The sequence below is a fragment of the Homo sapiens genome, chromosome 15 (genome assembly GCF_000001405.40).
Source record: "Homo sapiens chromosome 15, GRCh38.p14 Primary Assembly".
Classification (NCBI taxonomy): domain Eukaryota; kingdom Metazoa; phylum Chordata; class Mammalia; order Primates; family Hominidae; genus Homo; species Homo sapiens.
In genome coordinates this window covers 50,521,200-50,533,855 of record NC_000015.10, presented here as the reverse complement: position 1 = coordinate 50,533,855, position 12,656 = coordinate 50,521,200, and the positions used below count along the sequence as shown (strand labels likewise).

General features: G+C 40.4%; 1 protein-coding gene across 5 annotated transcripts in view; it reads left to right on the top strand.

Moving 5' to 3' along the window:
• The window catches only part of USP50 (ubiquitin specific peptidase 50), a 53,642-nt gene that overhangs the window by 12,811 nt on the left and 28,175 nt on the right, over positions 1-12,656 (top strand). For 4 of the 5 annotated variants that reach the window (XR_007064444.1, XR_007064443.1, XM_047432465.1 and 1 more), the window contains one exon: positions 3,927-4,059. Coding sequence is in view for 2 of the 5 variants with exons in the window: in XM_047432465.1 (XP_047288421.1) it covers positions 3,927-4,059 (133 nt within the window). In the remaining 3 variants the exon portion in view is untranslated. Of the gene's footprint in view, positions 1-1,628; positions 1,845-3,926; positions 4,060-12,656 lie in introns of all 5 variants that reach the window. The other variant, XR_007064445.1, reaches the window with a different exon arrangement.

Genomic DNA, 12,656 nt, shown 5'->3' with positions numbered 1-12,656 from the left:
GCTAATTTTGTATTTTTGGTAGAGACGGGGTTTCACCATGTTGAACAGGGTGGTTTTGAACTCCTGACCTCAAGTGATCCACCTGCCTTGGCCTCCCAAAGTAGCTGGGATTACAGGCATGAGCCACCGTGCCAGACCTCTTTTAACATTCTTGCAAGGCAGGTCTACTGGCAAAAAATTCCCTTAATTTTTCTTTGTCCAGTGAAGTATTTATTTCCCTTCACGTTTGAAGGTTAATTTACACTACAGAATTCTAGGTTGGTGGGTTTTTTTCCTTTTAACACTTTCAATATTTTTTTCCACTTTCTTCTTGTTTGCATGGTTTCTGAGAAGTTAGATGTAATTCTTATGTTTGCTCCTCTATAGGTGTGTTTTTTTCCCCCCCACTCTGGCTTCTTTTAGGATTTTTTTCTTTATCTTTGATGTTCTGCAGTTTGAAAATGAAATGCTTAGGTGTCATTTTTCTGGTATTTATCTTTCTTGGTGTTCTCTGAGCTTCCTGTATCTGTGGTTTGGTGTATGGCATTAATTTGGGAAAATTCTCAGTCATTATTGTTTCAAATATTTTTTCTGTTCTTTTTCTTTTGGTATTGCCATTACACAGATGTTACATCTTTGTAGTTGTCCCACAGTCCCTGGATATTGTTGTGCTTTTTTTTTTTTTTTAGTCTATTTTCTTTGTTTCTTTTTTTTTTAGGAGGCATGGTGGGGGCAGGGGGAGGGGCTTTTACTTTGTTGCCCAGGCTGGTCTCAAACTCCTGGGCTCAAGCGATTCTCCCACCTTGGTCTCCCAAAGCGCTGGGATACAGGCGTGAGCCACTGCGCCTGACCGGCCAGTCTTTTTTCTTTCTTCTTTTCAGTTTTAAAAGTTTCTACTGAGGTTCCTCAAGCTCAGAGATTCTTTCTTCAGCTGTGTCCAGTCTACTAATGAGCCCATCAGAGGCATTCTTCACATGTTAGAAGATGCAGTTTTTTCCTCTAGTAGTTAAAAGAAAAGAAAAGAAACTAACCACTGTACTAACAAGGATACCTCTAGCATTTCTTTTGGTTCATTCGTTCATTCTTAGGATTTCCAAGTCTCTGCTTACATTGACCGTCTGTTCTTGCATGCTGTCTACTTTATTCGTTAGAACCCTTAGTGTGTTGATCAGTTTTAAATTCTTAGTCTGAAAATTCCCACACCCCTGCGCTATCTGGTTCTGATGCTTACTGTCTCTTCAAACTGTGTGTTTTGCCTTTTAGTATGCCTTGTAATTTTTTCCTGATAGCCAGATATGATGAACTGGGTAAGAGAAACTGACTTAAATAGACCTTAATGATGGGGTGGTAAGGCGGAGGGGGAGGGGAAGCGTTCCATAATCCTATGAGTGGGTCTCGGTCTTTTAATGAACTTCAGCCTCCAGACTACGAACTTCACAAGCGCTGCTCAGTCCCTCCACACCCGCTTCGGTGGAACAGGATGGCTAGAGTGGGCTGGAGTTGGGTGTTTTCCTTCTCCCAGGTTAGTTAAGCTCTGATAAGACCCCAGCAGGTTAGGCTCTGGTTAATGAGTTTCTCCTGTGGGCAGGCTTTACGAACAGGGTGCTTTAGCCTATTTCAGAATGGTTTCTTTCCCTTCTTCTTGCCAGAAGCATGAGGAGATTTGTCTCTAATATTTACCGTGCGAGTGTGGTTGGGCTCCTGGAAGGAAAATTCACAAAGTGTGGTCCCCCTGTGACTGGATTCTTTGGAGTTTTTAACTCTCAGACTCTGCACTGAGCCTCTAGCAATTCATCAATTACAGTTCAGGTTTTCCTACGCAGACCTGTTCCCTCAGAGGTTTCTGCTCGGCAGTTTTGGCTCTGGTAAGTCTGTGATTCTCTATGTTTGCTGGTCTGTTTTTCCAGTTTTGGGGGCAGTGGTTTGTCCTGTGACCTCACTGCTCTTTCAGCTCTAAGAAGAGCTGTTTATTTTCCTTTCGGTTAATTCTTTCCTTCCTGAGGGAAGGAAAATAACCAAAAGCTTTATTTAGCTTTTAACTTGTTAGGACAGAATGGTGACTTCAAAGTTTCCTTACGTGTTGAACTGAAAACTAGATGTCTCTCATCATTGCTTTTGGTGTTCAAATTGTTCAAAATTGGCCAGTGGGAGCCCCTTCAAGTCAGCTCCTGGGGCCCCATTAGTTTATTAGGGTATGCTTACCTAAAATGTATCATTTTTAGGTGCACAGTTCTATGAACTCTGACAAATGCATGCAGTCATGTAACCATTACAACCAACATATAAACCATTTCCATCACCCCAAAAAGTTATCTCATGCTCCTCTCTAATCATTCTCCTCCCTAAGCCTATAGAAATTGTTGATCTGATTTCCGTCCCTATAATTTTGTTTTCCAGAACGTGCTATGTCATACTGTATGTAGCTTTCAGAGTTTTTCTTTCACTTAGCATGATTCTTTTGTGTTGTTGCGTGCATTAGTAGTGCCTTTTTTATTGCTGTGTGCTATTCCTTTTTGTGAGTGTACCATAGTTGCTTATGTCTCCACCAGTTGATGGACGTTTGGGTTGTTTACAGTTTTGCATAGTTAGGAATACAACTTCTACAAATACTAGCAGATAGCTTGTTATGTGGGCCTAAGGCTTCATTTCTCTTGGGATGATACCTAGGTACAGAATTGCTGGATCACATGGCATTCCCTTAGTTTTTTGAAAACAGGGTATCTTGCTTTCTGACACAAGAATGTCTCAGTCGCGGTAATTTCCCGGCCTCAGACCTCCATCAGCCATTTTTCCAAAATGAACATAATTATATTTTTAAAAGCTTCTGAGTAACTCTGATGTGAGCCCAGATTTACAAACTTAGGATCCATGTAACAATACAGAATGTGAAAGATTTTCACAAAATGTTCTTATTAAAACATTAAAAAAAAACAAACAAAAACTCAGAGCTTGAAAACAGGACATTGCCAAGACTACCTGTGCTGAAAACAAGATAAGGAAAAGCTGAGCTAGCTTGGTTAGAATAAATAGGCTCAGCTGGAGCAAAAGCCTCAGGAATTATCAATGGGGTTTCTGCTTCCCCCAATGTTGAGCCTTGGTTATCCCTTTCTTTTTGCCCTGCTAGATTCAGTTTAGCTTGAATCTTTGCTATCTCACTCCTTGATTCAAATTCCAGTCTCATTTTGGTGAGGCTTGTGGATGCGGTATTTAAATAGATAAGAAAAAAGTAATTTATAAGTCTGTACCAAATAATCTTTCCAGGAAATTACTTTTTTTTTTTATTTTTTATTTTTGGAAAGGAGTCTCGCTCTGTCACCCAGGCTGGAGTGCAGTGGTGCGATCTCAGCTCACTGTAACCTTCGCCTCCCAGGTTCAAGCAATTCTCCGGCCTCAGCCTCCCGAGTAGCTGGGATTACAGGCATCCACTACCATGCCCGGCTAATTTTTTTGCATTTTTAGTAGAGACGAGGTTTCACCATATTGGCCAAGCTGGTTCTAACTCCTGACCTCAAGTGATCCACCCGCCTCAGCCTCCCAAAGTGCTAGGATTACAGGCGTGAGCCACCTTGCCAGGCCAGAAGTTCCTTTTTTTTAGAGACAGGGTCTCACTCTGTCACCCAGGCTGGAGTGCAGTGGCACAATCACGACTCACTGCAGCCTCAGCCTCCCTATGCTCAGGTGATCCTCCTACCTTAGCCTCCTGAGTAGCTGGGACTACAGGTGAGAATTTTATGTAGAGACGGGGTTTTGCCATGTTACTCAGGCTGGTCTCAAACTCCTAGGCTCAAGGGATATGTCCACCTTGGCCTCCCAAAGTTGTGGGATTACAGGCATGAGCCACTGTGCCCAGTCAAGAAATTACTTTTAAAATACTCGGAATTTGTCATGTAGACAAATGAGTGGTTCACAAGCTTACTTTGTATTTCACACATTTATTATACCTGCAGGTTTGACATTCAGGGTACAACAAAAAGGAAGCTGAGAACGGATATTCATTACCCACTCACTAACTTGGACCTCACTCCTTATATTTGCTCAATTTTCCGGAAATATCCTAAATACAACCTCTGTGCAGTGGTGGTGAGTAAAAACAAACTGTTAAAAGTAATCCAATTTTAAAGAAAACTCCAGAATTATCTGCTTGAATCCCTATTTCTCCTGTCTCTCCCTGGCTTATGCCCTACTTTTAAAAAATATAGACCAGGAAACTCTCCACTTTGACCTAGACAAGTAGAGGAACAAAGAAATAAAATATACTGTTCACTGCCTCTCTATTTTCTCTCCACTCAGTGGCTATTTCAGATCTAAGATCTAAGGATACTGCAAATTGTGCTCCTAGAAGCAGCAGCAGCAGAAGTTGGTTCCAACAGCTTAAAATTGTTTCTGAGACAGGGCCTTGCTCTGTTGCCCAGGCTGGAGTGCCATCAGTGGTGCAATCCCAGCTCGCTGCAGCCTCCAACTCAACTGATCCTCCCCAAGTAGCTGAGACTACAGGCATGTGCCACCAATTTTTTTTTTTTTTTTTTTAAAGTAGAGATGAGGTTTCACTATGCTGCCCATGCTGGTCTTGAACTCCTGGGCTCAAGGGACCCTCCCACCCTGGCCCCTTAAAGTGCTGGGATTACAAGCATCAGCCACCATGCCCAGCCTCTGATAGCTTTATGTTGAATAACCGTGAACCACTTTGTGACCAAGCCCCAAAAGAGTAGGTACATACTAGCCACAAGATTCAATTCCTGTATGCAGCCAGGCCTAGAAAAACGCTGGGGTCCCTATGGTTCTAAGTCGACTATGATCAATAAAGATTTCCTGAAGGAAAGAAAGCATGGAGTATAATTTAGACCAAACCACCGGAACTCATATCAACCATCCCCAAGTAGCAAGCCATTCTGTGGGTTTCTGTTCTGGATCACGGTGTTAACGATCAGTCTCAGAACATACTCATATTTCAAATTGTACCTGGAGGTCCAGTTATGTCATATCAAATGGTTGAGACTCCCACCGGAGCCCAGTAGGATTCACCAGAGTCCACCGAAGTCTAATTTGCCTCTTCAGCTTATTGTTGAATTAATGTATTCTAAGATGTGAATCCCACTGGTCTTCCTCATTAGCAGCTCTCAGAACCATACCTCCACACTTTAACAAAATTATCAGTTCTGTATTTTGTGTTTTCACTTCGAGTCTCAACATTCTCCTTTCCAATTTATCCTGCTCCCAAACATGGTTTTTCTTCTCTCACTTCCTTGCTTGGGAATCTAGAGTGGCATCCTCTTCTCTATTATATCAAATGCAGACTCTAATGTAGATTCCCGAACAGTGCAGGAACTGCCTCCCTTATATTTTACTATTTTTATTTCTCATATAGATGTTTCTGCTTTAAGAAAATCCAAATGACAAAAATCTGAATTGAATATAAAAATTATAATTATTGCTGAGCTCAGTGGCTCCCTCTTGTATTAATAATTCCAGCAATTGTGGAGGCTGACGTGGAAGGATCACTTGGGGCCAGGAGTTAGAGACTATAGTGAGCTATGATTGCTCCTCTGCACTCCAGCTTGGATGACAGGGCAAGACTCCATCTCTTAAAAAAAAAAAAGTAATTATGTGCAGTATGGAAATATATGTTTATATAAAACATCACCCCAAACCTCCTATAAATTCTTACTCCTAGGCTGGGTGCAGTGGCTCACGCCTGTAATCCCAGCACTTTGGGAGGCTGAGATAGGAGGATCACTTGAGTCCCGGAGTTCAAGCTAGCAGCCCTGGCAACATGGCAAAACCCCATCTCTAAAAAAAAAAAAAAAAAAAAAACTTAGTTCTTTTAGTAATCAAACTATTATTGGTTAATTAAGGGGTCAAAAGTTGGTTTCGAAAGAGAACTGTGTTTAGAATTTGCTGCAAATTGAAGATTCATCAGAGGTAAGAACTAAGCATCTGTGAGGTTGAGCATGGTGGCTCACATCTATAATCCCAGCACATTGGGAGGCCGAGGCGGGCAGATCACCTGAGGTCAGGAGTTTGAGACCAGCCTGGCAAACATGGTGAAACCCCGTCTCTACTAAAAATACAAAAAAATTAGCTGGGTGTGGTGGCATGCACCTGTAATCTCAGCTACTCAGGAGGCTGAGGCAGGAGAATTGCTTGAACCCAGGAGGCAGAAGTTGCAGTGAGCGATATTGGGCCACTGTACTCTAGCCTGAGCGAGTGAGACTCGGTCTCAAAAAAAAAAAAACAACAATAAAAAACTAAGCATCTTTGAAATTATGATGCATGACAGTAGGAATAAAACCATCTAGAGCTTTGCTACTTAAGGTGTGGTCCTCAGGAGAACCGTAGCATTGGCACCACTTGTTAGAAATAAAGAATCTCAGGCCGGGCATGGTGGCTTACACCTGTAATCCCAGCACTTTGGGAGGCTGAGGTGGGCAGATCATGAGGTCAGGAGATTGAGACCATCCTGACCAACATGGTGAAACCCCATCTCTACTAAAAATACAAAAAAAAATTAGCCAGGCGTGGTGGCATGTGCCTGTAGTCCCAGCTACTCAGGAGGCTGAGGCAGGAGAATCACTTGAACCTGGGAGGCGGAGGTTGCAGTGAGCTGAGATCGTGCCACTGCACTCCAGCCTGGATGACAGAACGAGACTCCGTCTCAGAAAAAAGAAAAAAAAGAATCTCAGGCCCCACCTCAGGCTCATTGGCTTAGAATCTGCATTTTAATATGATCCCTCTGTGGTTTCTGTGCATAATGAAGTTTAAGAAGCATACATCTGTAGACTAGAAGGGAAGGATATCCCTGCACCATCCTTAAAAGAGATTTATCCAGCCTTTGCATGAGCCCTTGAAGAGTTTACTGCTTTACAAGGCAGGCTCTTCATTTGCTAGATTCTTTGTTAGATTTATTTTACGAACACTTACATAGTGTTTATTATGTATCAGGCACTGTTCTAAGCACTTTACAAATAATCAACCATTTAATCCTTATTCTAGCCTACGAGGTAGGCACTCTGTATTATTCCCATTTTACAGAATAGGAAACAGGCACAGAGAGGTTAAATAATTTGCCCCAAATCATACTGCCTACAAAGAGCAGAGCCAAGATCTGAACCCAGGCAGGCTGGCTCCAAACCGTCTTGCTCTCGTCTCTGACATTGTGCTGCCTCTGATTGTTAAACATGTCTATATTGAGCCCAAATCTACCTGCCTCCTTGTAGTGTCTTCCCATTTGTCCTAAATCTGTCCTCTGAAGCAGTGATAGCAATATGTATGTGGCTTACAGTTAACACATGCTTGTACATATGCATTAGCAAACAGAATACCTTTTTTTCTTATACATGTTCCTTCAAATATTTGGAAATGGCAACCATATGCTAACAATATCTAACTCCTTCAACCCTCCTCAAATCATTGGTTTCTAGAAAGAGTGTTTTTTAAAACAATGAAATACTTCAGGCACAGGAATCTGAACGGAGTAAGTATTCATGCTATTTGCCACCTAGGTAAAGAAATAAAATACAGGCCAGGAGCAGTGGCTCACGCCTGTAGTCCCAGCACTTTGGGAGGCTGAGACAGGAGGATTGCTTGAGCTCAAGAGTTGGAGACCAGCCTGGGCAACATGGCGAATCCCCATCTCTACAAAAAAATACAGAAGTTAGCAGAGCATGGTGGTGCATACCTGTGGTCCCAGCTACTCGAGGGGCTGAGGTGGGGGGATCTCTTGAGCCTGGGAGGTTGAGGCTGCAGCGAGCTGAGATAGTGCCACTGCGCTCCGGCCTAAGCAACAGAGAGAAACCCTGCCTAAAATAAAATAATATAATACTGTATAAAAGAAAAGCCCCCTGTGTGTCTTTAATGATCCCGCTCCCTTCCGTTTCCTGATGTAACCATTACCCGAATTCGGTGTATATTATTCCCATGTATTCTTTTCCACAAATGTTTGCATTTTCTGTTTTGCATGTTCTCTAAATGTAGTATCATACTGAACTTATTCTTCTATAGCTGTTTTTTCTCTTCAATGTTATCTTTAATGATATTAATCCATCAATACATTAGCTTTTAAACTCATTAATATTATTTTTAATTGATAAATCAAAATTTTATACATTAATGGGGTGCAATGTGATGTTTTGAGAGATTATATACATATACATATATACATATACATATATACATATATATACATATACATATATAATATACATATATACATATACATATATACATATACATATACACATATACATATATACATATACATATATACATATATACATATACATATATACATATACATATATACATATACATATATACATATATACACATATATACATATATACATATACATATACATATATACATATATATACACACACATACATATATACATATATATACACACACACACACACAAAATGTGGAATGATTAAATCAAGCTAACATATTCCTCACCTCACTTATTTTTTGTGGTGAGGCATTTGAAATTTGCTCAGCTATTTTGAAATACACAATACCTTTTATTTACGATAGCCACTCTGCCACGCAATAGATCTCAAACTTCCTCACTGAAACTTTATACCCTTTGACCAAAAACTCCTGATTCCTCACTCCCCTCCCCAGCCTGTGGTAACCACCATTCTACTCTCTACTTCAGTGAGTTCAATAGATTCCACATATAAGTGAAATCGTGCAGTATTTGTCTTTCTGTGCCTGGCTTATTTCACTTAGCATAATGTCCTCCAGTTCCACCCATGCTGTTGCAAATGGCAGAATTTCCTTTTTAAAGGCTGAATAGTATTCCAAATATATCATGTTTTCTTTATTCATTTATCCACTGACAGACACTTAGTTTGATTCCATATCTTGACTATTGTGAACAATACTGCAATGAGCATGGGCATGTAGATATCCCTTCAATGTATTGATTTCCATTCCTTTGGACGTATATCCACAAGTCAGATTGCTGGTGGTAGGGTTTTTTTTTTGTTGATGTTATTGTTTTTAAAGACTGGGTTTTGCTCTGTCACCCAGGCTGGAGTACAGTGGCACAATCATAGCTCACTGCAGCCTTGAACTCCCAGGCTCAAGCGTTCCTCCCACTTCAGCCTCCCAAGTATCTGAGACTACAGGCATGTGTTACCACACCTGGCTTAGTTTTAGTTGTTTAAATCTTTATACCATTTTCCATAATGACAGTACTAATTTACATTCCCACCAACAAAGTACAGGATTCCTTTATGTCCACATCTTTGCCAACACTTGTTAACTTTCATCTTTTTGATAGTAGCCATTCTAACAGGTGTGAAGTGATAGCTCATTGTGGTTTTAATTTCTATTTCCTTAATGCTTAATGATGTTGAACATTTTTGTCATGAACCCACTGGACATTTGTATGTCTTGAGAAATATCTGTTCTGGTTCTTTGCCCATTTTAAAATCAGCTTATTTGTTTTCTTGCTAATGAGTTGAGTTTCTTATATATTTTAGATATTAACTGCTTATCAGATGTATGGTTTGCAAATATTTTCACCTATTCTTTGTGTTATCTCTTCCCTTTGTTAATTGTTTCCTTTGCTGTGCAGAAGCTTTTACATTTGATGCAATTCCCTTTGTCTATTTTTGCTTTTATTGCCTGTGCTTTTAGGGTTACATCCAAAATAATCATTGTCTAGGCCAACGCTGTGTAGCGTCTCCATGTTTACTTTTAGTTGTTTTATAGTTTCAGGTCTTATATTGAAGTCTTTAATCCATTTTGAGCCGGTTTTTGTTTATGATATAAGGATCCACTTTCATTCTTCTGCCTGTGAATATCCAGTTTTCCTGACACCATTTATTTACTGTCCTTGCCCTATTGTATGTTCTTGGCACCTTTGTGGAAAATCATTTGACCATAAATGCATGGGTTTATTTCTGAGCATTCCATCCTGTTCCACTGGTCTACAGTTCGGTTTTTATGCCAGAACATGCTGTTTTGATTATAATAGCTTTATGTAATAACATATTTTGAAATCAGGGAGTGCGATGCATCCAGCTTTGTTCTTTTGGCCTGATTGTTTTGGCAATTTGAGGTCTTTTGTCATTGCATATAAATTTAAGGATTTTTTTCTATTTCTGTAAAATTTTCATTGGAATTTTGATAGGGATTGCATTGAATCTGTAGATTGTTTTACGTAGTATGGACATTTTAGCAATGTTAATTTTTCAAATCCAAGAACACAGGATATCTTTCCATTTATTTGCATTTTCTTCAGTTTCTTTCTTCAATACGTATAGTCTTCAGTATCTTTCACCTCCTTGGTTAAATTTACACCTAAGTAGTTTTTGTTGTTTTTGCTATTGCAAATGGGATTATTTTCTTAATTTCTTTTTTGGATAGTTTGTCAGTAATGTATAGAAATGCCACTGTAGCCGGATGCAGTGGCTTATACCTGTAATCCCAGCGCTTTGGGAGGCAGAGGTGGGAGGATTGCTTGAGTCCGGGAGTTCAAGACCAGCCCGGACAACATAGGGAGACCCTGTCTCTACATAAAATTAAAAAAAAAATAGCCAAGTATAGTGGTGCACACCTGCTACTCCAGAGGCTGATGTGGGAGGATCGCTTGAGCCCAGGAGGTTGAGGCTGCAGTGAGCTGTGATTTTGCCACTGCACTCCAGCCTGGGTGACAGAGCAAGACCCTGTCTCACCAAAAAAAAAAAAAAAAAAGCTACTGATTTTTATATGTTGATTTTGTATCCTGCAACTTTATGGAATTCATTTCAGTTCTAACAGTTTTTTGGTGGAGTTTTTAGGGGTTTCTCTATATAAGATCGTGTCCTCAGCAAACAGAGAATTTCACTTTTTCTTTTCCTATTGGCGTGCCTTTTATTTCTTTCTCTTGCCTAATTGCTCTGGCTAGGAATTCCAGTACTATGCTGAAAAGAAGTGGTGAGTGGCTGGATGTGGTGGCTCATTCCTGTAATCCCAGCACTTTGGGAGGCCGAGGCAAGTGGATCACTTGAGGTTAGGAGTTCGAGACCAGCCTGGACAACATGGTGAAAACTTGTCTTTACTAAAAATACAAAATAATTAGCCTGGCGTGGTGGCACACACCTGTAGTCCCAGCTACTCAGGAGGCTGAGGCAGGAGAATCACTTGAATCCAGGAGGTGGAGGTCTGCACCATTGTATTCCAGCCTGGGTGACAGAGTGAGACTCTATCTCAAAAAATAAAATAAAAAATATGATGTTGAACTTGATTTGCTACTATTTTGTTGAGGATTTTTGCATCTATGTTCATCAGGGCTCTTGCCTTGTAATTTTCTTTTCTTGTACTGTCCTTGTCTGGCTTTAGTATCAGGGTATTGCTGGCCTCATAAAATTCTCTCTGGTTCAATTTATTGGAAGGGTTTGAGAAGGATTGGTACTAGATCTTCTTTAAATGTTGGGTAGAATTCAGCTGTGAAGTAGTCTGGTCCTGAGCTTTTCTTTGATGGGAGACTTTATTACTAATTCAATTTCATTGTAATTGATCTATTCTGCAACCTTCTCCTGGGCTCAACTGATCCTCCCACCTCAGCTTCCCTAGTAGCTGGGACTACAGGCACATGCCACCATGCCTGGCTAATTTTTGTATCTTTTGTAGAGATGGGGTCTCACTATATTGCCCAGGCTGGTCTTAAACTCCTGGGCTCAATCAAGCCACCCACTTGGCCTCCCAGACTGTTGGGATTACAGGCATGAGCCACCATGCCTTGCCTTTTCAGATTTCCTATTTCTCCATAATTCAGTCTTAGTAGGTTGTATGTACCTAGGAGTTTATACATTTCTTCTAGACTATCCAATTTGTTGATGTATAATTGTTTATAGTAGTTTCTTAGGATCCTTTATATTTGTGTTATGAATTGTAATGTGTCCTCTTTTGTTTCTGCTGTTTTTTGAGATGGAGTCTCGTTCTATTGCCCAGGCTGGAGTGCAGTGGTACGATCTTGGCTCACTGCAATCTCCGCCTCCTGGATTCAAGTGATTCTCCTGCCTTAGCCTCCCAACTAGCTAGAACTACAGGTGTGTGCCACTATGCCCAGCTAGTGTTTTTATTTTTAGTAGAGATGGGGGTTTCACTGTGTTGGCCAGGCTGGTCTTGAACTCCTGACCTCAAGTGATCCACCTGCCTTGGCCTCCCAAAGTGCTGGGATTACAGGCATGAGCCATTGTACTCGGCTTCATTTCTGATTTTGAGTTGTCTTTTTTTCTTAGTCTAGCTAATAGTTTGTCAATTGTGTTTATCTTTTAAAAAAACAACTCTTAGTTTCATTGATTTTGTTGTTGTTGTTTTTCTAGTCCTTGTTTATTTCTGCTTTGATCTTTGTTATTTCCCTCCTTCTGCTAATTTTGGGCTTCGTCTGTTCTTTCTCTAGTGCCTTGGGATGTAATGTTAGATTGTTGAGATCTTCTTTTTCTGAAATTGTTTTTAAAATTAATACATAATAATTGTACATACAAGGTACATGTGGTATTTTGATACATGTATACAATATGTACTGATCAAATTGGGATATTTTGGCTGGGCATGGTGGCTCACACCTGTAATCTCAGCACTTTGAGAGGTCAAGGCTAGTGGATCACCTGAGGTCAGGAGTTCAAGACTAGCCTGGCCAGTGTGGTGAAACCCCATCTCTACTAAAAATACAAAAATTTGCCAAG